General features: G+C 33.7%; 1 protein-coding gene across 43 annotated transcripts in view; it reads right to left on the bottom strand.

The window, feature by feature from the left end:
• Positions 1-25,963, bottom strand: part of BLTP1 (bridge-like lipid transfer protein family member 1) — a 210,422-nt gene that overhangs the window by 18,033 nt on the left and 166,426 nt on the right. For 27 of the 43 annotated variants that reach the window (XM_047416253.1, XM_047416259.1, XM_047416258.1 and 24 more), the window contains 12 exons: positions 20,184-20,293; positions 19,400-19,490; positions 18,803-18,865; positions 16,363-16,616; positions 13,179-13,394; positions 10,911-11,091; positions 10,175-10,376; positions 8,367-8,528; positions 7,700-7,839; positions 5,312-5,513; positions 1,110-1,310; positions 159-338 (listed from right to left, as the gene is read on the bottom strand). In XM_047416253.1, coding sequence (XP_047272209.1) covers positions 159-338; positions 1,110-1,310; positions 5,312-5,513; positions 7,700-7,839; positions 8,367-8,528; positions 10,175-10,376; positions 10,911-11,091; positions 13,179-13,394; positions 16,363-16,616; positions 18,803-18,865; positions 19,400-19,490; positions 20,184-20,293 — 2,002 coding nt within the window. Of the gene's footprint in view, positions 1-158; positions 339-1,109; positions 1,311-5,311; positions 5,514-7,699; positions 7,840-8,366; positions 8,529-10,174; positions 10,377-10,910; positions 11,092-13,178; positions 13,395-16,362; positions 16,617-18,802; positions 18,866-19,399; positions 19,491-20,183; positions 20,294-23,513; positions 23,713-25,963 lie in introns of those variants that run through there. The other 16 variants (XM_011532324.2, XM_005263287.2, XM_047416267.1 and 13 more) reach the window with 6 other exon arrangements.

Raw genomic sequence — 25,963 nt, 5'->3', positions numbered from 1 at the left:
TGACACAGTACCGTAGGCTGGGCATTCCTCTCCTTTATATCAACTTATCACTGAAAGCTTAACATTAAGTGACTTAATATTTAAACACTATTAAAACAGAGGCCATTATTTAATTTTGGAAAACAGTATTTTAATTTAAAAACTATAAAATTGAGTACCAGATATATTTATTAACGTAGTATCCATTTTGCTTGCAGACTTGCTTACAGACTGACTTTCAAAAAATGAGGCACCTCCTGAACGCCTGATCCGTGACAAACTCACTTTTACAAACTCAAGGTTTATACTGAGTGAATCTTTTCGACCAGTGACTGAAGTGGGCTCCTCATCCACATTCCCTTTAAAACAAACAAACAAACACAACCCCCACATCTATATATACATATATACACACAGCTGTCTAGTTAGGTGAAAATTATCTAATATACTGTAATATGCCATGAATTAAAATCACTTGAGGTAAAAATTTAAGCAGAGGGATCTAATGAGCATTAGCATTTCTAACAACAATTTAAGAGGTTCAAACCCACAAACATAATTGGTGATTTTTACAACCCTTCTCCAACAATAGAAACTAGAATTGACGTGGAATATATGTTTTCATCATTTATTTAAATACAAGTCAAGAGTTAGTTACTAATAAGAAGCTTTTATGCATTTGCAGTGTTTTATCTGCTCTTCAAAGTGACAATGAAATTTAATTTCACGAAATGGCTGACTTAAATTATAGTCTCTTTTTAAATTAACAATTGTGACCCATGCACTTTAAAATTTTACTTTCTACGCAGTTTGTTGTATAAATGGACAGTGATTTGCTAAGACATTTAAATATTTCAATAACATAAGTAATCTCTGATATCCAGAGATTACTGTGCTGTGTATACCGCTTAGAAAATATTCTGAATTTTAAAATTCTTGTATAATTAATTCACCTGAATTACTTATTGTATATGTCTACTTATTACGTAAATATGAGATAGGTATTATCAAAGAGGAAAAATACAAAAAGCATCTGATCTTGGCTATGTCCTTATGATTTATGAAAATAAAGCTTGAAAGCTTGAAAAGATGCTGTAAATCTGAAAAAGACATAAACATGCAAAGTATACCTAATCCTCCTGATCCAGGTGTGAGGCCAGAAACAGCAGTTTTTTGTTTCCCTGCTCCATATGGATGAAATACATAAAGGGAAAAGTCAGACATGCATGCAGTGAAGCTCAAGCCAGATGAACTACTGCTGGAACTGGTCAGGTCTGACTGACTACTACTATGTCGACTTCGGCCAAGAGGGCTGCCTAATCCCGATGAACCTACAGTGAGCACAGGAAATTGAAAATATAAGCTACAAGAAAAAAAGGCCAGTCAATAATATGTTCTTAAGAACCAGACATGACTTCAGAATAAAATGGAAACACTCAAACATCAGATCAATAGATTTAACAGATCAATAGATTTAAATCCTTAAAACTGAAATAAAGACTTAGATGTATTTTCCAATTAATTTACACCAGGGTTGAATACTCTGTTCATCCTTAAAACAATTATTTTTATATATATGTTTGGCCTACTGCATGGTTTCCTATTTCTTTTCTCCTTCACTACTAGAAGCAGGCAGTGGAAGAGGCCCAAAATAGCTAGGGCTTAAGCAAAGTGGGGGAGAACATACTGTAAAAAAATCCATATCATATACTTGGAGTCCACATTTCAGTAGGTGCAGTGGAAACAGGGCAAGGTATGCAAAAGCAGAAAGTAAAAAAATCTGTTAGAGAGCCAAGTGTCCTTGTTGGTAACATTTACTAGGGATGGACAGGTAAATTCCAAAAACATAAAAAATATGAGACCATTTGAATAGATTATTAAATGATTTTGCTGGTGATTCCAAAATGTATGTCCAGACCAGACCTCCTTTGGATTTATATATTACAACTGCCTACTTGACCTCCTATTAGAATGGGTCACAGGCATTTAAACTGAACTGCACTCTTGATCTTTTTCCTTGAATTTGTTTTTCTTCCAGTGGTCCCCATCTCCAGTAAATGAATACTTCCATGAAAACAGCTCAACCAGGCTGGGCACAGTGGCTCATGCCTATAATCCCAGCACTCTGGGAGGCCGAAGTGGGCAGATCACGAGGTCAGGAGTTTGAGACCAGCCTGACCAATGTGGTGAAACCCCATCTCTACTAAAAGTACAAAAACTAGCCGGGCGTGGTGGCACGCACCTGTAATCCCAGCTACTCAGGAGGCTGAGGCAGGAGAATTGCTTGAACCCAGGAGGCAGAGGCTGCAGTGAGCTGAGATGGCGCCACTACACTCCAGCCTGGACAACAGAGTGAGACTTAGTCTCAAAAAAAAAAATAAATAAATAAATAAATAAATAAAAAGAAAATAGCTCAACCAAAACCTGGGAGTTATCCGTCATCCTTCCTACTCCTGACTCTGTCATGCAATTTATCATTCATCATTTCTATATCTCAGGCATATAAAGTCTGTCCATTTCCTTCCATCTCACTGCTGCCATTCTAGCTTAAGCAATTATTAACTCTGCCTGGACTGCAGAAATGGCTCTCCTTGCCTCATGCTACTCCAATCAACTGCCACACTGCAGCTGGACTGGTATTCTAAAAGTATGTGTGTGAATCATATCCACTCCCTTGCTTAACCTTTCAGTGGCTTTCCCACATGAGTTGGCTCTTTCCTATCTCTCTAAACCTTTCTTATGCCAGTCTCCACACTTAACAATGGCTTTTTTTTCCTTTTTGTTATTCAGAGTTGACAAACTGTTTCTTCTTCGTGCATTTTGTATTCTCTCCTGGGAGTGTCCATTCCCCCAGTTCTCTGCTTCGCTAACCCATACTTACTTCACGTTTCCATTTAAAATAAACTTGTTTGCTGGGCTATTACTTGTTTCTCCAAATTCAGTTTAGGCTCCACATTAGTAAGTATGGACCACATCTACTAGCTAAGTTCACTATTACTATGCCCTAGCACTGACCCAGACCACAAAGTAAAGATCCTTTGAAAGAATGGATATTGTCGCAACCTATATATTCTTATCATCATTCCTTGAATAAATAATGATAAAATGAGGGGTGCTATTCATTTATGTTGTTTTCTAAGGAATCATAAAATTTGGGCATAAAAAATTTCTCATTTCATATTCCTTTCACTACCTATTCCTAGCATGGTGCATATATACTGCTATATTAATTTAAGTGCTAATAATTTATGACATTATGACAGTTTGTCATTAAAAGATTAACATTCCAAAAGAGAAATGGGCATGGGCATATATTTACCACTCCCAAGAAATAGCTAATAAAGTAATAGAGTACAGATTAAAATAATAAAATCCAAATTTAATCCATCACATTGACAATGATTAAAATTAAATTTAAAGCAGTGTTGGGAAGAATACAGTGAGCTGGTGTCCATACACACTGTGATGAGAGTGTAGAAATCTTACAGTCTTACCAGAAAGCAAATGTATCAAACACTTTCAAAATGTTCATACTTCCTAACCTAGAAATTCCACTTTTAAGAATTTCTCCTAAGAATATATCTTTGTTTAAAAATATTTACATACAAAGATGTTGATTTTAGTATTATTTTGAAAGCAAAATAACCCACAGAATCTCAAGTATATGATCCAAACAATGGAATATCTTATAGCCATTAATTTTAGAGATGAATATTTAATAATTTAGGAAAATACCTATGATACTTTAAATTTTAAAAAGTTACATAGCAGAAGAGGCCATATTTCAATTTTTGCCTTGGAAAAATATGGTATCACTACAGAAATGTTGTAGTGTTATCGCTGACAACACTAGTTATCTAGGATAAAGGGATATTCTCATTTTCATTTCACCTTTAGTACTTTTCATTTTCTATAATGAATAGTGAGTGTAACTTTTATAATCAGAAAATGTTTTTCAAAAACCAACACTACCACTACAATATTTTGTTGACAACACAACTCCAACAGCAATATTTTGAAGCTAAGTACTAGATAATGGGTGACCACATTAGCAAAAGCTTTATTTCTAAGGTATCAGCCTTTTTGTTTTCCAATTTTGTTGTGAAAACTTTCAAAGATTCACACAGCAAAACAAATGATTTCCTATAACCATTTCCCCATTAATACAAGTAAATACTGTGTTAAGAGATATAATTTCAGTTTTTCAAAGATGACTTTTGGGATGCTTTCTCACAAGCCAGTTTGTAATAATTTTTCCAACTGATGCTTGATGAGATTGTTAGAATAAAGATTTGAATCTAAGATGACTCTCTAAAAATAGGACCCAAAACCTAAGCTGTATTTCCTTACAAATCAGAAAGGTATTTCCCCCTCCACTGTCTTCATGCCTCTCTCAAAAATGGAATTTGGGATTTTATTTTTTTCACGCTTAATGCAAACCTTCTCAGCCTTGCCATTATTGACATTTTCAACCAGATAATTATTTGGGAGTGGAGGGGGTTGTCATATATACTATAGAATGTTTAGCAGCATCTCTGGTTTCTCTTCTAGCTGCCAGCTGTACACCCTCAGTTACGACTATCAAAATTGTCTCCTAATATTGCCAACAAGATAGCTCCTGGTTAAGAACCAATATTTTAATGACATTCCAGTCTTCTTATCAGTTTTCATTCAGTCTAGTCTCTTTTTTTCAGAGGTATTCAATAAAATTTTTACCATTTGCATGTGTGATCTCTATTTCATTTTTAGGACAGAAGTGGCACCCAGCTTTAACATAGTGAGGAATGCCTATCATCTCAGGAAATCAATTATATTTTAAAAACAAAACCTTTATGAAACACATATTTGAGTTGTATAACCAAATTTGCCATTTAAAAATACATATGCTACTGCTACTTGATACAGTTTTCACCCAGTGTGATAAGAAATCCCTGTAAGGTAACACTATGTTTCTTATTTTCCATTTATAATACTGATTACTCCTTAATGTCAAATGTAGCTTAAGATAAAAGATATTCAAAAGTACTTGAACATGTGGATTATTATATAGTAGTTATGTCATAGCGCTTGTAGTATGTACATTCAAGCCATATTCAAAATGCTGTCTAATTGCCATTCAGCTAAAAACAGAAACCAAAGGGTAACTCAAGTTCAAATAACACATGAAATATACTCAAAACATTGGTCTGCTATAGATTTCTTTCTATAAATAATCCTCAAATATTCCCCTTTTCCAAATATATTTTAAAATATGTATTAATTACTATTAAAATATTGATTTAAAAATAGTATTTGGCTTTATACTAGAGGAATAAAAGAACATTATCTATACCTGGTATTCCAGTTTTGCTAGCAGAAGTCTTTGTTCCACTCTGAGTAGCATTACCTCCAGGGGATAAAGTCTCTGCAGGATATGTAGTCCCTAAAGTCTCCAGTTCTCCTCGGTTTGAAGAAAACACCAAATCCAGGGATGGCAGCTTTAACATGCATTCTACTCTTGATACTGGTAAACAGCTAAATTTGATCTGTGAGGGCTAAAAATAACAGACAGCAAAAGGTTTCTAGGAACTGGATAAAAGAAAAGTTTTAAATAGAAATAATATTGAAATGTTCAAATAAACTTAAGAAACATTTTTTTTAAACAGAAAGAAATAAAGTATATCACCTGAACTCATACATAAACCACAACATCTACAGGAAAGTTAAGAAATTTCACCTTGGATTTCAAAAGTTACATTTAATTTCCATTTCTGTCTACATATATTGATCATGTTTACTCATTTGATACTTAAGATTTTGTGTTCATTGTCCTAGCTTTTTAAACAGAAGCATGATATAAAAATCAAAATGTATAAACAAAATGCTATCATTTTTAAAAACCTAAATATTTGAGGAGCCATCTCAGAACAATAAGACAGTTGACCCTTGAACACCACAGGTTTGAACTGTGCTGGTCCAATTAACATATGAATTTTTTTCCGCCAAACATGGATTGAAAATACAGTATTTGGGATGAAAAACCCGCATATACAGAGGGGTGTCTCTTTTTTTAGTAATTCCTCAGGGCTGACTGCGGTACTTGAGTATGTGTGGATTTCGGTATACATGGTAGGGGGCAGGGGTAGTCCTACAGCCAGTCTCCTAAGTACACGGAGGGACTGTATTTAGATATTTAGATAGTTCAGAACCTTAAAAAAATTTATGCTCATATTAAACTTGTTCATAATTAACAAAGGTTGGTTTTTGTTTTTTTAGAGACACTCTGTTTTTTTAGAGACCACTCTGTTGTCCAGGCTGGACTGCAGTGGTACAATTATGGCTCACTGCAGCCTTTGAACCTACCAGTCTCAAGCCATCTTCCCATCTCAGCCTCCCAAGTTGCTAGGACCACAGATACATACAATCACGCCTCGCTAATTTTATTTTATTTTTTTTTGGTAGAGATGGGGTCTCCATGTGTTGCCCAGGCTGGTCTCAAACTCCTGGGCTCAAGTGATCTACCAGGCTCAAGTGATCTACCCGCCTCAGCCTCCCAAAGTGCTGTGATTACAGGTGTGAGCCACTGCACCCAGCCCAAAGGTTTTATAACCCTCAAACCCTCATTCATTCTGTTTTCATCAGACCTTTAAAAAAGCTAGCTAAAAATTCTGGAATGTAAGACTGAAGCTCTTTTGGCCACATTACTGTTATAGAAGATAGTTGGAACAGATGACCATTAGTGTTTCCTTACTCTTAAGATTATTAGATTTTAATTGAGGATCAACTAAACCCTGAAGTTTTGATACAAGTAGTTTTAAATCCTCCTTGATAAACAGATTTAATTAAATATGTACTATATTTTGTATAGTATATATGCTAATATATATTTTATTATATATAATATATACTAATATATTTGGTATAGTATATATGCTAATATATACTCCCAAAGGCCTATTGGTAGGACTGCATTTTAGAATAAAATATTAAATAAAAACTAGGTAACACTTAGCAAAAATTTGAACAAAGGTACTATTGTGACTTTATATCTCAATTACACTTTATATCTGCCCAGAAAGAACTATAATGGCAAGAAATTAAGGTGCCAAAATAAAGGCATAAAATGCTTAAAAAAGGGTTTTAACTTAAATATTTTTATTTTTGTCACAGAAGTATGAGCTTTAATTTTTGAAAACCCAAAGATCTATGAAACTTCTTGGTAGAAAAGTGAATATAGATGATCTCCAATTTAGGCTGGGCGAAAGTGATACACATTCAGTAGAAACTGTACTTTGAGGACCCATACAACCATTCTGCATTTCACTTTCAGTACAACATTCAATAAATTACATGAGATATTCAATATTTTATTATAAAAAAGGCTTTGTATTAGACGGTTTTACCCAACTGAAGAGTAATGTGTTCTGAGCACATTTAAGGTAAGCTAGTTTAAGCTATGATGTTCAGTAAGTTAAGTGTATTAAATGCATTACTGACTTACGCTATTCAGTTTGTGATGGGTTAATCAGAACAGCATCATAACTTGAGCATCTGTATATACATAAAATTTTACACATACTTCACACATATTCTGGCAACCTCCAAGCCATCACAAACATACTAAAGGTTCATGAACCTGAGGTTAAGAAAACTTTTAAACAGTAATAATGTTGAAATGTTCAAATAAACTTAAGAAAAACATTTCTCTTTAAAACAAAAAGAAAGAAATGAAGTATGTCACCTGAACTCGTACATAAACCACAACATCTACAGGGAAGGAAGAGTAAGCAGATGTTGAAGACGACACTAGTGATGTTGTTGATTCTTCCATAGGATCTGGTATTTCAAAATGTCCCATATCTTCATCTTGTGAGCTGACAGCTGTTTAAAATATTTGGTTAAGTTTTATTATTAGATCAAAGGCAAACTATTTATTAAAAGATCCTTATTGTTTATACTAGAGTGAGATGAAAGGTATGAACACCCGGAAACATTTGCTTCTGTAGCCCTTCATTCTATACGTTTTTCCCTGTTCGCACCTCTTGCTCATTCCCCCAAACTCAAATTTTCCTGCTGCTATACCAAACACTGTACAAAGAAACTAGTGATTATATCCTTGCCCTCAAAGAGATTCCAGTCCAAGGGACACACTAAGGATGTAGAACTTATGTTAATTTTGTCATTAACTAGGTGGGGCCATGGGAAAGTTATGTAACCTCACCAGGACTTAGTTTCTTCATTTGTAAATGACAATTAGATGATCTCTCAAGTTCTTTTACAGTTTATAATTCTTTAACATTTATAATTGCATATATTATGTAATAATGTATAATAGCATTAAGAAAACCTTCTATATAATAAGATCCCAAAATATATGTTATGGGGAGGTATATAAGAAGGATGCTTACCTGTATAATTCCTTTCAACTGGTGTAATTGGGATAGTTTCCAGAGCTTTTTCCAGAAAGTCTAATAGGCAGGGACTAATAACCATTTCTTCTGGCAATGACTGAAGTGCTACCCAGGCATATAACTTGGCTGTTTTTACTCCTCCACTTCCTTTTCCTTTGGCTAGAACATTTATAAATTCCATTTAATGGATTTTATAAAAAGTTCCAATTAAACAGAAATTTGAATTATATTAAAGTTTAATCAAGCAAAGTACCTCACATTTAAGGCCTTACAAGAAAATAATAAAAGTAGCAGGTTGATAGGAATGATATGTTAATGTTAGAATACAGAGGCGATTAATAACATATAATAAGTTGGTTATTCCTACTTGCTCTGCGTCACAAGTTTTGGTCCAGTTTTTCAGCTTTATATTTTGGTTAGACTCTCATTAGCATTAGTCCTTTTGTCCATTTAAGAAGATATAGAGAACTTTAACAATATTTAGTGGCAAGTGAAGAAAAACGTCACTGTTTTCAGGCTTTCCTGTGCTTAGCTTGCATGTATTTATAATGCTTCCCTACATGGGATGCCATTTCTCTTTCCTTTTACCTAACTAAATATATCTGCTTCAGGAGAATGAGTAAAACATCTAAGACTTAGTTAGCTTTGGCTAAGGTTTCCAACTTTTAACATTTATTAGTTGTTCAAATCCAGGAAAGACATCCAACTTCTATGAGCCTTAACTTTCCTTTATAAAAGGGGTTAATAGCTGCCATGCACTTAATGGACACAGATGTGCCTTGTTAGCTGAAAAGTGATACTAGGCATTCTCAGCATGATTACTATTTTAAAAGGTTTATATATCAAGTTTTGTCTCCCAAATGAAACTTTCTCAAATAATTCTTGTCTAGTCTGATATTCCTTTTTTTGGAAATCCTGCCATGTATGTACGGTATCATTCATGTGCTATGGTAGCCAGATTCCAAGATGACATTCAATGATCCTTGCCTCCTGGTATTCATGCCCTTGTGTAGTTTACTTCCGTACTGACCTGTGTGATGAGTAAAACCTTGTGGCAGTGATGGTGTGTGACTTCTAAGGCTAAGCCATAAGAGATAATGCAGCTTCAGCCATGGTATCTTTTGGATCACTCCTTTTAAGGGAAGTCAACTGCCATATCATGAGAACACTCAAGAAGCCCAGTAGAGAAGCCCACATGAGAGGAAGGGAAGTACCAATTAGCCAGTCACATGACTGAGACATGATGGAGGCAGATGTTTCAGCCCCAGTCAAGTATTGTCATCTGAATACTTGACTGGGGCTGAAAAATCTGCCATGACTGCAATCTTGTAAAAGACCATAAGTTAGATCCACTGAGCCAAACTGTGCCTACATTTCTGATCAGCAGAACCTGTGGTTGAGGTTGTAAGCCACTAAATTCTGGGTAATGTGTTATACAACAGAGAAGTAATAAATGTGGTTAAACCCAATGTACTCTCAAGTTTGATATTTCCATCTGCTCATAAGCTCCCAAATTTGAGCTACATAAAACTACTCTTTTTATATATACAGACCTAAAAATTTAATTACGTAAACTATTTGGTATATTATTTATTTTATAACAGATATTCTAAAGTAATGTCAATTTCAAAAACAGGTGAAAATGGTTGGCCCACACTTCCATATATGAAGTCTGTAGAGTCATTATTGACAAATGTATGTCCTTTTTTCTTAAACATGTGCATTGGAAAGTCTCAAAAGAGCAAGTAGGTAATAACTAAAAATTTTTAAAATGACAAAAAATAAAGTATATACTCCTTAAATACCTGCAGGAATAGGTGGGGGCTGGGGAGGAAGTAAGGTGTTAGTCTTGCTCTGGACAGTGGAAGGTAAAGGAGGAGAAGGAGGAGATGTTGCACTATCTTTCATACCATACAGCTTGGACTCTTTGGACAGTGTTCTTGGCAAGGAAGATCCCCTGGAGGCATTAGGTGATTCAGTCTTTAGCGTCTTGGAATTGTAATGCAACTGTATTGAAATAAATAAACTTTTAAAATTAAAATTATGAAGATGAGGAAAATCAAGAAATATAGAAAAATGTGGTAGAAAGAACATTGGAAGTCAGAAGACTGTTTTAACTTTTAAAAGTTAGCTTTGTGATCCTGGCAAGTTTCTTTGCTTTTATTCATTTTTTAAAATAAAAAGGTCATTTCAGATAATCTTTAATGTCCTTTCGAACTGAATAGTCTATGATTCTATAATTCCAGAATCTAAAAAACTGTTGTTTAATGAAGTTGCACTAGCAAGGTTTAGCAAGTTTGTTACGAATATCAATTTATTAAAAAACCGAACTTCTTTCCATCAAACTTTCATGGAAAATGCTACATAAATGAAGTGGGAACCTGCAGTTTTGATGTTCTTCTGTCCAGAATATGGCTATATTAGACAAAGAAGTCACTAAGTCTCATTTTAATATAATGAGAAAAAGATGAACATATATGATAGAAAATAAACATTGCTACCAATAGTCTAATCCCTTACCCTAGGCAATTGGGTTTTTACCTTTACATCAACTCCGGGAATGTAAAATACTGTTGTTTCTAAGTCACTAGGCTTTGTCTGTAGAGATGATGGCACTTTCTTGCCGGTCATTAAATGGGTGGTAGAAGCATAATTAGTTTGAAACTTCTTCTTTTTTGAAGGTGAATCTTGATCTAAGCTCCTGGAACTTCGATCATAACTCCTGTGAACAGAAAAATGTTCTTATCTTTTTAAAAAATGACACATTTATCTTTTTGTTTAAAAGCAAACTTTTCGCAACCTACTCATCTGACAAAGGGCTAATATCCAGAATCTACAATGAACTCAAACAAATTTACAAGAAAAAAACAAACAACCCCATCAAAAAGTGGGCAAAGGACATGAACAGACACTTCTCAAAAGAAGACATTTATGCAGCCAAAAAACACATGAAGAAATGCTCATCATCACTGGCCATCAGAGAAATGCAAATCAAAACCACTATGAGATATCATCTCACACCAGTTAGAATGGCAATCATTAAAAAGTCAGGAAACAACAGGTGCTGGAGAGGATGCGGAGAAATAGGAACACTTTTACACTGTTGGTGGGACTGTAAACTAGTTCAACCATTGTGGAAGTCAGTGTGGCGATTCCTCAGGGATCTAGAACTAGAAATACCATTTGACCCAGCCATCCCATTACTGGGTATATACCCAAATGAGTATAAATCATGCTGCTATAAAGACACATGCACACGTATGTTTATTGCGGCACTATTCACAATAGCAAAGACTTGGAACCAACCCAAATGTCCAACAATGATAGACTGGATTAACAAAATGTGGCACATATACACCATGGAATACTATGCAGCCATAAAAAATGATGAGTTCATATCCTTTGTAGGGACATGGATGAAATTGGAAACCATCATTCTCAGTAAACTATCGCAAGAACAAAAAACCAAACACCGCATATTCTCACTCATAGGTGGGAATTGAACAATGAGATCACATGGACACAGGAAGGGGAATATCACACTCTGGGGACTGTGGGGGGTGGGGGGAGGGGGGAGGGATAGCATTGGGAGATATACCTAATGCTAGATGACGAGTTAGTGGGTGCAGCACACCAGCATGGCACATGTATACATATGTAACTAACCTGCACAATGTGCACATGTACCCTAAAACTTAGAGTATAATAAAAAAAAAAAAAAGCAAACTTTTATTTTTACAGTAAATGGAATACAATCCTTCATTTAAGAAGTTGAAAAAAGTAAAGTTCATCAGTATCTCTAGCGAGACTGGTTAATGCCTTGCATGAGTGATGTAAATGTTGTATGTTCCGTAACTATACAGGGCAGTTACCTTTATTCTTTCCTAAGGTCGTGACTTTCATTTGAATATATTAGGTTGAACCAAATGAAACTGCCCTTTATATAGTAAAAATACAGCTAAATATTAGCAATTTATTATGGGTTATGTTTCAATCAAAAATAAACTAATAGTCATCCTTTTTATCATCACTACTACATTTGTAAGACATTTTAACTGTTTATAGTACCTTTTTTATTTTCTCATATTTTATAAAAGCCTCAATTAAATATTTTATTATGGAAATCTTTGAATGTATAAAAAATAATCAGAATAGTATCATTAATGATCCTCCATGTTCCCACTACCCAGTTTCAATAATTGTCAGCATTCTTTTTATCTACATCTCCACCCATCCGCTCAATTATAACTATTTTTTTTACAGTTCATTTTTAGATTAGAAAAGGAAAACAAAATTTAAAGAAAAAAATGTTAATCCTGTTTATATCATCATTTAGTTAGTGATGTAAACAAATAGTAAAGCTGCAGTTATATCCTGAACACAATTTCAGTCTACTGAGGTCTGTGTAACTGTCTCCCAGTCTTTCTTATTTCTTTATGAACTTATCAAACTCTCAATAACCAAGATACTTCTGAGCATTGTGTTGTTCTTTAAAACTGAAATATGTATAATACAGGGACAGACACTGAGAAATTCATGTGTGTTAAAAGAATTCCAAAGATATAACTATTTTAATTAAAAAACTTGCAAAAATCTAAGTCAGACATCCATTTCTAGTTGCCAGAAAATATTATGCACTTGTTTATAAGAAACTGTATAAGAAATATACACTTGACCATTATAACTATAATTACATTTACACTTCAAATCTGCATTTTGGGATGGAGAAGTTTGTTATAATTCAGTGATATATGAATAGTATTTCTAATAGATAAAGTTTCATGTATCCTTTTCCAATCAATTTCTTACCTTCTCAAACTTATATCATCATGTTCTTGTAGAAGGGTGGTTGGGTGGAGTACACATTTTCCACTATCAATTTCAACCCGTATATCAAGTTCAAAGTCAATATTTCTCTCTGTAGCTGTGCCACTAAGACTTCTATTGACTGGTGTTGTTGGCCAGCGTTCTGTAAATAGCTGATGAACAGCAGCAAAGCCTGTTGCTTTTTTACGAGACGTATGTCTACAGAAAGAACAATTGATCATTACATTGTAGTAAAATGAGAGTTCTTTTTAACAAACTATTTTCCAACATGTTATGTGAGCAACAGTCTGTAAATAAATTTTACTATTTTGTAAATTCACATGAGTGAGTTTAATGGAGCCACACTTTATTCAGCTACTATGTACTGAATAACTATTATATGCCAGGCTATTTGCTAGGTGATGAGGACACAGACATAATCACCACTTTTAAGGAGTCTGAATATCAGTATATAAAATATACTGTGTATGTTGGAAAATATTTCATTTTCTCAAATTATAACATTTAAATGTTACTTTCCAGATTTTATTAAAGACAGAACAACAAGGAAAGAAAAATAATGCCATGTGATCTTTAACAAATGGTGCCGGAAAAACTGGATATCCACATCAAAAAAAATGAAATTGAACCCTTATGTTATACCATACAAAAAAATCAACTCAAAATGGATTAAAGACTTAACACCTGAAACTGTTAAACTCTTAGAAGAAAACATAGGGAAAAGGCTTCATAACACTGGTCTTGGCAATGATTTCCTGACACCAAAAGCACAGACAACAAAAGTAAAAAAAGACAAGTGGGACAACATCAAACTAAAAAAGCTTCTGCAAAGCAATGGAAACAATAGGGTGAAAAGGCAACCCATGGAATGGGAGAAAATATTTGTAACCATATATCTGACAAGGGAGTAATTCCCAAAGTATGTAACAAAATCCTAGCATTCAGAAACCAGAAAAATCCGATTTTAATAATTGGCTAAGAACTTAAGTACACATTTCTCCAAAGAATCAGCCAACAAGTATATTGAAAAGGTGTTCAATATTACCAGTCATCAAGGAAATGCAAACCAAAACCACAATGAAATATGACTTCATACCTGGTAACATGACTATTATTTAAACAAAAAGCAAAAACAAGTGTGTTGGCAAGGACATGGAGAAAACAGAATCCTTGCATATTTTGGTAGGAATGCAAAACAGAGCAGCTGCTAGGGAAAATAGTATGGAGATTCCTCAAGAGATTACAGTAGAACTACAACATGATCCAGAGATCCCACTTCTGGGTATTTATCCAAAAGAATTGAAATCGGGATCTCAAAGAGATATTAGCACTCCCAAGTTCACTGCAGCATTTTTCACAACAGCCAAGATGTAGAAACAACCTAAAATGTCCATTGACAGACAAATGAATTAAAAAATGTGGTGCATACATACAATGGAATTTTATCAGCCTTAAAAAAAAGACGGAAATGCTGCACTATGTGACAACATGTATGAACTTGAGGACATTATGCTACATGAAGTATGCCAGATACAGAAGGACAAATACTGCATGATTCCACTTACATGAGGTATCTAAAATTGTCCAACTCATAGAAGTAGAGAATAGAATGGTGGTTGTCAGGGGTTAAGGGTCTGGGGGAGGTTGGCCGTTGCTAATCAATCATGTATAAAGTTTTAGTTACGCAAGATTAATAAGTTCTAGAGATTGTGCCTACAGATAACACTGTTGTATGGCACACTTAAAAAGGTGTTAAGAGGGTAGATCTCATGCTAAGTGATCTTACCAAAATAAAATATTTAAAGAACTTATCAAATTGTATATCTGGAAAATATGGTTACACTAATGTAAATTATATCTCAATAAAACTGACAAAATAGTTTTTACGAAGGCAACGTAAAACATAAAAAGTAAAGAGATATAGATCATCTGTCCAGGAAGGCAAATGTCCGATTACTGTTAAGACAAAACAAAAAAAAAAGGGAAGAATTTATCCACACAACTATAAAGTAATATTTCCTATAACCAAATTTATATTCTAAGAAATACCAAAATACCTAGAAAAATTGTTAGAAAAGACGCAAACTTGGACCACCATGAAATTAAATATAATGACAAGATTCTAAAAATGTCCAGGAAGAAAACAGATATAAAATATCAAAAAAACTTAAGTCACATTGACAGAACTGAAAAAGATAACCAGCATATGCCGAATATGGATGCTGGAAGATAACAGAACAGTTTTTCTTACTTAGGAGAAGAAATACATATTAGACTAGAATTCTGTTCCCAACTCAATAATAAACACAAAAATAGTAAAGCTACTTTAGACATGAAGAAAATGAAGTAGATCTGCAATAATAACTTTTCATAGTAAGTTATTTGAGAATGTACTCCAGAAAAATGAAGGAATAAAACCAAATATGCTGATGTATGGGATTCAGCAGTCAGTGGCTTCAGTCTAGGAAAGGGAGGAAAGAATCCCTAAAACTCAAAATGTAGAAGATTGAAGACAGAGAGTTTCTTATAGATCAGCTTTTGGTTACACTCTTGTGCTAAGCCAATTTCTCATTATTTATTACCATTATTAGAAACTCTTACTATTATTGTCACAACCTCACTTGAGGGCGGTTTAAATAGACCAGTTCCAAAGATCCTTGCCGCTCCTCTTGAGGGCATATTCAGAGCAAAGTTTCACATATGTCATTTATTTCATTAACACCATTTCATGTTATTTCTTTCTTCTAAGAATTTGCTTAAGTCTTTCATCCATTGCTAACCATTTCCCTTTACTACTTTTCTTAACTAGCCTTCACTATTACATATCTCCTTGCTGCAATCTGTTAATGTAATGCCACAGGAATACAGCCCTCTCCTTTAATTTACTCGTAACCACATCTTTATTTCCATTTTATTTTAGATAATTAAACTTAGGTGACATGAAAAAAAAATTTAAATTTAAAAAATAATGTTATATGGAGCTACATCACAATAAACCATGTGATAAATTTTATTAAAATAAATTTTATTTTAATGAGTCTGTTAGTCTCACTCAAGCGAGGCACATTAAAAATGTTTTTTGTAAAAGCTGAGTTATATATAACATTTTGTGCTCATTTCTAGATTCTGAAATACTACATTATGATCTTAAAATAAGGTTACTCACGAGGGTTTCCTGTAAATATAAAACCTTTCCCTCTCATGGTCTTCATCTTTTTCATCCTTCTCGGAATCTTCACTGGTAGAAGACAAACTGTCATCCCGTCGGCCCTCTTCAGTTTGGAAAGGAATGCCTGGTGAAAAGCCTCCTGGAGTTTTGGGAGAACTGAACACAGAACATGATCCTTCACTATTTGATGAATAATGGGATGGACCTTCAATGGTTACTGACAAAAGGTCCAGTTCTGTCTCCTCTGGAAACTGATTGTAAAAAGAAAAAACATGAATCAGATTCATATTTCAATTAAAAAAAGAAAAAATATATAAATTTAAACATTTAAAAATTATCTCAGAGTTGAATTTCTTCACTCTGAACTGAAAGAAAGGTCAGATTCATGAACATATGAAATAGTACACCAAGGAAGGAAGCAAAAGGGCCAACCACAGAAAGTTACACTACTGACATACTAAAAATCAGAATGAAATTTTACTTAATATAAACATATATTACTGTATCAATAACACTGTAATTCTTTAAAGCAGAAGTTAAACATGTGGAAGCAAAAGAAACATGATTAAATCAGAATGGCAAGAGCAATTAGTGATGGAAGAGCATGCAGTATCAGTACAAAGTTTATTGTTTTCTCATCATGCTAGTAGATGCTTTTTGTGGATCTTTTAAATGCTAGTAGATGCTTTTTGTGGATCTTTTAAAAGCTAGTAGATGCTTTTTTGTGGATGCTTTTTGTGGATCTTTTAAAAATGAGCCCCACATGAGTTAAAGAAAAATGTGCAAATAGCCGAGTAATAAAACATGTATCAATCAAACTGAAGAATGCTGTATTTTAAGGTAAATACAGCCGGCTCTCTGTAAACACCTACAGATTCAATCAAGTGCAGATGGAAAATATTGGGGGAAAAATAAAAATAATAGTACAATAAAAAATAATACATATAAAAGATTTAACAACTGTTTACAATAGCATTTGAAGTGTACTACTAGGCATTATAAGTAATCTAGAGATGATTTAATGTATATGGGAGGATGTATGTAGGTTATGTGCAAATATTGCACCATTTATAAAAGGGACTCGAGTATTTGTGGATATTGGTATGCATGGGGGTCCTAGAACCAATCCCCCACAGATATTGAGAGATGACTACAGTTTGTATAAACACCATGTCACTAACTCAGGATTTCACCAGGAGGCCACTGCATTTAAATAGGTCAAACAAAACAAAACAAAACAAAACAAAACAAAACACCCCCCTATGACCTAATTTTGATGCCCAGCTTCACAGAGTCACAGAGTTACTTGAGCAGTAATAAGCCTTTATAAAGTTTAATGTGCAAGGTAATTTATGTGCAATTTGTTATTAAAACTACTGGATGCTGCTATTCCATATACAGTTAAGTCCTACATTGAAAATTTCAAATCCAGGTGTTCTTCATTTTATATAGTATACATGTTACTGAGTTAACAAGTAAATTAGACTGTTAGAACAGCCAATTTTTAAAACTTTGGTAAGAGACAATAAATATTTGTTTCATATTTACTTTATATTTAACCATGCTTTAATTATTTTCTAATTTATGATTAGAAAAATCTAATATTTAATCTCATAGCTATTATATAATTCATGATTTTTTATATACCATTTTTTTACAAGCAGTACATGGCTAATTTAAAATGGGACTTGAATTGAATCACTTCAAATATTAATCCCTTTGAGAATCATCTAGTTAGCAGAACCCACTCCATTCGTGTAAATTCTTTCTTTCCAAGTTTTCTTCATAAAAAAAGAACAAGCTCACTACATTACAATTAAATAGTTCTTTAAAAAATCCAGTTTGACTAAATTCAGTATGAGATACATGTTGAGACTCAAGCTTGAAGAGAGTGACAAAAGGGAAACAAAATATATTTGGATAAGTGCTAATTTTTAAATGTACCTTGACAAAAAAGATCTATTCATTCTTCCACATTGTTTTGAACAAGAGAATAATTTAAAAAATGGATAGTTTCATAAATGTTCTTTTACACCAGTGACTCAAAAGAATGTTCAATTATTAATGTTTGTTCTGAATTAAATTTAATTCTAGTTTGAACTGATCTTTGTTTATGAAAAAATTCATTTTGTAGTTGAATATAAGGAAAAACTGCTTCACTTAGGGATTAGGAAATAATAAATTGTAGTTTTTTTTATGATTTGGTTGAATTGATTTGATTAGCTGATTTAGTCTTTAATAGTATTAAACTACACAGAAGTAAAAACCAAGACAAATGCATGCAAGAGGTTATGAGATTCAAACAGTCTTAAACCATTATGTAAAATATTTCTGAGGTCTAAGTTAAGTTTGAAATGAGAGGAAGATATTTTGAAAGTAGATTTTCAGTGTGGTTGATTAGTTTTAAAGCAAAATTTATATTGTTCTTAGTAAGTACCTGAAAATACCCTTCCCCAGGACAGCTGGATTGTGGTGTACTTCCCCATACTGTATTTTTCAACTTAATTAAAATAATGAGAAAAGTAAAAAAAAAAAAAACTCATGAAAAATAACAATGACTTAAAAGTAAATACACAAAAAACAAAATAAACATTTTAATATAATGTTTAATATGCTATGAAATTAGAATACAACTTTGAAGCTGATCTTCTTCCTTCTAATTTCTGCTATCTATAAATAAAATACATAAATGAGTATCAATATTCCACGTTTACATTTGTGTAAGATGTAGTTTAATATGGATTCTCACTTGAAAGAAAAATTATTCAACAAAAACCTTTCTACTTAAGAGAAAGCAGTTATGGAGCCTTTATTGTGCATGTAAAATGTAAAATACTAACACCTGCTTCATGGCTCTCAGAAAATGTTATAAGGGCAGTGCCCACTACTTGGTAATATGCACAGTTCAGTCATCACAATCCATACTTTGATTATAGTAAGAAATCAGTATTTTGAAATAGTATAATACCATAATTTTGTAATTTGTAAAAACTACTTAGCAATGTATATCTCTAACAAATTATATATCTCTTACTGTATCCTGGATATTAAAAGTTACTCTAGGTCCAGGAGATGCTGCATCCACACGGATTTCTGGGAGCTCTTCAGTTTCTCCTACTCGAGAACTGCAAGTAAATATAAAGTTATAAAACACCAATATTCTCATTAAAAAAATTCCTGGACTTTATAAAAGTCTGATTAATGGCAATGACATTTTATTTGTAAGTATTTACCTAATCAAAGGATTGAACTTTCTCTTAACCTTTAGCATCCCATAAAAAAGAGTCAATGTTTTGGTTAACTCAAGATTTTTCTAAAACTAAATCATATAAAAAGAATTTATACTTCTTACGTTATAGTGCTGATTTACTATTAAAACTGTATTCACTTCAATAAAATGTAAAATTTCCATTTTTTCATATGCTAAATGTCTGTGTGACTATACCTTTTCTAAACTGACAAATCTAGAGCAGTAGCTACTAGTATGCACCTTTTAATTTCTTTGGATAATCTATAAGTTTACGCATAAAACTTGTCTATCCTTCTAAACCACAGTTTTATGTAAATAAAACAGAAACTTGTCTAAATAGCAGCGTACTTCATTACTAAAAAGCACTTACCGCATTGTGGTTATAAATGTGATGAGAGATTCCTTAAATAAACTTCTGAGTTTGATAGTATCCACTGTTATTGCTATTTTACTAATAAAATTAATTTTTGTTATCTTAATTTTATAATTAGAACATAAAAAAGTAGTTGACCTTGGTAAAAGAGTCAACAATTTTATTACTTGTTTCAATGGCTGAAATATATATTACCTTGCCCTTTCCATTCGCTTAAGAGGTGGTCTTCCAGAAGCAGAAATGCTTTTTGATCGGCTGTAACTTGGTTTGTAACTCAAACCCCACTTATCCTTTAGGGAAGCAGCCTAACAAAATGGGAGAGAAAAAAGGGTGACTATAGGTGATTATTTACTGTATTTGACTTCAAATAAAAGAAAATATTCTACTATTAAATAAGTTGTTTTCCCCAGGGGACTTTAATGTTACTTAACAATATGAGTCAAAATAGAGGAGGAATCAGCTATTCTTTGGTTCTAACACCAATTAGGAGGCGCAATGAAAACAGGAGCCACCAGCTGACCTGAGAAAAAAGAAGAAAAGAGAAAGTTTGGGGGTAGGGATGAGGGTACAGAAACATGGTGAGAAGAAAGGAAATGATTTTAAAATTAAGAATGGAGAAAGAAACTGAGAATTAAAGTTTTGGGAGAAAGCTAAGTTCGGGGCAGTGGAGACAAAAGATCACTTTTCTCCAAGGGCATCCCGTTTGTAGGACTCTTCATTACAACAAAGGAAAGTAAGAGTGTTAATGACTTAACACTCTCCCTGTCTCTAAGTCCCTCTTCTAGAAACTCGTGATGGTGCTAGATAGTTAAAAGATTTTAATACAGTGGAGTTTTGGAGTCTAAGATGGATAATGGGAATTGAGGGGAATATGTGGAATGAGATGTGTTAAGAATGCAGATGTTTTAACAACTTCCCTAATTCTATCTAGTTTTATTTTTAACAGTCAATTACCAAATATGACTTGTAACAGGACACAAGTAATATTTTAATTATATTGTATGACTGTTGTGTAGACAGCAAAAATTTAAAATATAAAATTACATGTTACAGATCTCACTATCCATTATTACTATCAGAGACTAGTGACAAATAAATTGGAGAGCAGTATTCAAACTATATTCTCTGGGAGTTAAGAAGTGATCAAGGAAGGGCAGGTCAAGCCAATAGCTCCTGGAACCCTGCATCAAACTTTCCCCTTTCCTTTGACACCTGCAGCTCTGATTTAATATGTTTTTCATGTGTTGGGGTACCACCTAAAAATCTCATCCTGGTTAAAAAAAAAAAAAAAGAGGGTTCTCTGTTGGTTTAAAAAATTTTAAAACCAATTACTTTTTTTTTCCTTTTAAGTGGTTTTTAGACTTTGTTTTCAGTTTCACATGTAAGGAGTTTGGAAGTCACCATTCCATCCTAACAAGAAGTAAAAAGCTGAACAAACTTAAGAATCAACAGCTGTTCTTGGAGCTGTAAGAAAGGCGACAAGGAAGGACAACTTCTGCCCCTCACATTGGAGAAAGAGACCAGTAAATACAGTGAGTTACAGCTTACCAGGACAGAGATGCACAAGTAAAAACTGCTGCAGGAACCAACACTGGGGTAGGAACACCTGAACTGTAATTGAAGAATTGCTGGAAGGTTCAGTGCAGACAAGTCTGAGAGTTAAAAACTCCAGGGGGACCCAGTCACCGGTGCCCCTGCAATATTGTGAGATCGCCTTTCAGTAGTTCCACCAGGTTCCCACAGAAAATGTCAGGGGAAAAAAATCCCCTCAGGAGAAAAGTCCCCTAGGCTTCCAACACGGGGAAGGGAAAAGGAAACATTTTGAAAAAACACTAAGAGTACTTTCTTTTTCTGAATAAGAAAAAATGCCCTTAGGAGAAATTAGCTAACCAGAGCCTAACCAGTGGGAATATTATCAGAGTATAACTGACCTGGGGAAGGGAAATACAATACCAATGCAGTCAGTTCTATCCATACTGGTCCATCTAAGTTGGGAGGAAAAAACTGACAAACATGAAGTTCACAGTTCAGAGGCATAGGCTCATTAAAAGACGATAAAATGCTTCTCTTACCCTGACACCTTAACATTACCTCACTAAAGCTTCTTTACAGCAGCTCTTTTTACTTGGTAAATCATGTCTGGCTATCAATAAAAAATTACAAGGCATATCAAATAGCAAAAAACACAATCTAAAGAGACAGAACAAGCATCAGAACCTCATAGAAGGGATGTTGGAATTATCAGACTAGAAATTTAAACCAACTATGATTACTATGCCAAGGGCTCTAACATAAAGTGGACAGCATGCAAGATCAGCTGGACACTGTAAGTTGAAAGATGACAATTCTAAGAACCAGAAAGAAATGCTAGCAATCAAAAACACTGTGACAGAAATGAATTACTTTGATGAACTTATTAGTAGACTGGACATGGCTGAGGAAAGGATATTTGAACTTGAGGATATATCAATAGGAACTGCAAAAAGTGAAAAGCAGAACAGAGACTAAAAAAACAAAACAAAACAGTATATCTAAGGACTGTGGGACAACTACAAAATGTGTAAGTATGTGTAATGGAATACCAGAAAGAAAAGAGAAAGAGAAAGGAATAGAAGAAATATCTGAACCAATAATGACTGAGAGTTTTCTCAAATTGTTGTCAGATGCCAAACCACAGATAGAGGAAGCTCAAAGAACACCAAGCAGGATAAATGCCAAAAAAAAAAAAAAAAAAAAAAAAAAAAAAAAAAAATTACATGTAGTTATATCATTATCAAACTACAAAAAAAAAAAAAAGATAATGAAAAAAGCCTGACTTTTTCCTCAGAAACTATGCCAGGTAGAAGGCAGTGGAGTAAAATATTTAAAGTGTTGAGAGGAAAAAAACAACCCAACAACCTAGAATCATATACCTTGCAAAATTATTCTTGAAAAGTGAAGACTTTCTCAGACACAAAAATTGAGGGAATTTGTTGCCAGCAGACCTGCCTTGCAAGCAATGTTAAAAGAAGTTTTATAGAGAGAAGGAAAATGATATAGATCTCTATTTAAAAAAGGAAGAGCATTAAAGAAGAAATGAAGGTAAAACCTTTATCTTATTCATAATCGACCTAACAGGTAAGTTTGTTCAAAATAATACCAATAATGTATTTGACTATATATATCACATGTGTGTGAGTGTGTGTATATATACACACACATATATACACATGCACACATTTAATACCAATAATGTATGACTATATATAAATCGCATGTATATGTGCACATGTATGTATAAATGTGTGTGCATGTGTATATATGTGTGTGTATATATGTGCACACGCATTTATGTATATGCTTATATATGCTTAAATATAAGAGAAATGAATGACAGTAATGATACAAGAGACAGGAGGGAGGGATTATGATTATTTTGTTTTAAGGTACTCCCACTGCCCATAAAGTGGTATAGTGTTACTGAAAGTAGACTTGGATTAATTATACGTGTACAGATGGTCCTTGACTCATAATGGTTTGACTTACGATTTTTTGACTTTATGATGGCACAAAAGAGGTAACATTCAGTACAGTCCTCAACTTATGATGGGGTTCAAGCTGGATAAACCTGTCATAAGTTGAAGATATCATAAGTCATTTTGACTTTTCAACTTATGGGTTTATTGGGATGTAACCCAATCATAAGCCGAGAAGAATCTGTAGACTGCAGTCTCTAGGGCAACCACTAAAAAAAAAAAAAAAAGAAAAGAAAAAGTAAAAAAAGAAGTGTAACTGATATGCTAAGAAAAAACAGAAAATGAGATTATATAAATGGCTCAATTAAAACCACAAAAGGCAGAAAAACGAGAAGACAAAGACAGGAACAAAGAGAAAAGGCAAAAAGTAGAAAATAGTAACAAATACAGTAGATATTAATTCAAAGCTATCATTAATCACTTTAAATGTCAGTGGTGTAAAATGATCTTAAAAGACAGACTGTCAGAGTGGATTAAAAAAGATCTGACAATGTGTTGCTACAAGAAACCCACTTATATATACATATTTAAGCATATATATTTAAAGACACATAGATTAAAAGTATACAGATTGAGAAAAATATACCATCCTATCACTAATTAAAAGAAAGCAGGGATAGCTATATTAATTTCAGACAGAGCAGATTTCAAAGCAAAGAAAATTATCAGGTATAAAGAAAAAGAAGAGCATTATGAAATGATAAAGGGGTCTAGTCTTCAAGAACAAATAACAATCCCTAATGTGTACATGCCTAACAACAAAGTGGGCTGAGCATGGTGGCTCACACCTGTAATCCTAGTGCTTTGAGAGTCGAAAGCAGGAGGATTGCCTGAGGCCAGGAGTTTGAGACCAGCCTGGGCAACATAGCAAGACCCTGTCCCCACAAAAAATGTTTTAAAATCCTGCCAGGCATGGTGTCATGTGCTGTGGTCCCAGCTACTTGGGAGGCTGAAGCAGGAGGATTGCTTGAGCCCAGGAATTTGAGGTTGTAATGAGCTATGATTGCACCACTGCACTCCAGCCTGTGCAACAGAGTGAAACCCTATTTCTTAAAAACAAAACAACTGAGTGTCAAACTATGTGAGGCCCAAACTAAGAGAAATGCAAGGAGAAACAGATGAATCCACTATTACAGTTTGAGACTCAATAACCCTTTATCAGAAATGGACATATCTAGCACACAAAAAAATCAATAAGGACATAGTTGAACTCAACATATCATCAGTCAATTGGATATAATCAACACCTACAGACAACTTCATCTAACAACATCATAATAACACATTCTTCTCAAGCTCACGTGGAACTTTCACCAAGAGAGACCACATTCTGGACCAAAAAGCATAACTTAACACATTTTTAAAAATTATAAATCATGGCCAGGCATGGTGGCTCACACCTGTAATCCCAGCATTTTGGGAGGCCAAGGCGGGTGGATCACGAGGTAAGACATTCAAGACCAGCCTGGCCAAGATGGTGAAACCCCGTCTCTACTAAAAATACAAAAATTAGCCAGGTATGGTGGTGGGTGCCTGTAATCCCAGCTACTTGGGAGGCTGAGGGAGAGAACTGCTTGAACCCGGGAGGTGGTGGTTGCAGTACACCAAGATCACACCACTTCACTCCAATCTGGGCAACAGAGCGAGACTCTGTGTCAAAAAAAAAAAAAAAAAAAATTATAAATCATAAAATGTCTGCTCTTAGACCACAGTGGAATTTAACCAGAAATCAACAACAGAAAGATACCTGAACATGAGTTGAAGAAAAAAATCTAAAGAGAAATTTTAAAATATAAAAGAAAATCAAAACACACTTATCAAAATTAGTGCGACACAGCAAAAGCAGTGCTTAGAGGATAATTTATAGAACTGAATGCATACATCAGAAAAGATCTAAAATCAATTATCTAAACTTCTATCTTAGAAAACTAGAAAAAAAAGGGCAAATTAAATCCAAATTAAGCATAAGAAAAGTAATAATAAAAATTAGAGAAGAAATAAAACAAACAGGAAATCAATAGAGAAAAATCAACAAAACCAAAGCTGGTTCTTTGAAAAGATCAATAAAATTGATAAGCCTCTAGCCAGGACAACTAAGAAAAAAAGAAAGACACAAATTACTAACATCAGCAATAAAGGAGGGTATACAACAACAGACCCTATGGCTATTTAAAGAATACAGGAATACAGTGAACAAATCTATGCCCACAGATTTGATCACCTAGATGAAATAGACCGATTCCTTGAAACATACAATTTTCTAAAATGGAGAGACGAAAAAGACAATCCAAATAGGCCTGCATTTATTAAAGGACTGGATTAATAACTTTACAAAACAAAAAGCAGCAGGCCCAGGTGGGTACACTTGTGAATCGATAACTCTTAACAAGTTACCTTTAATTTAAAAAATGAAGCAACAAAAGGGCAAAATGGTTTTTAAAAAAAGTTTTCTACTCCTAG

The sequence above is a fragment of the Homo sapiens genome, chromosome 4 (genome assembly GCF_000001405.40).
Source record: "Homo sapiens chromosome 4, GRCh38.p14 Primary Assembly".
NCBI classification, from domain to species: Eukaryota; Metazoa; Chordata; class Mammalia; order Primates; family Hominidae; genus Homo; species Homo sapiens.
Note: the sequence above shows the minus strand (reverse complement) of the source record. Positions and strands in the feature narration are given on the sequence as shown.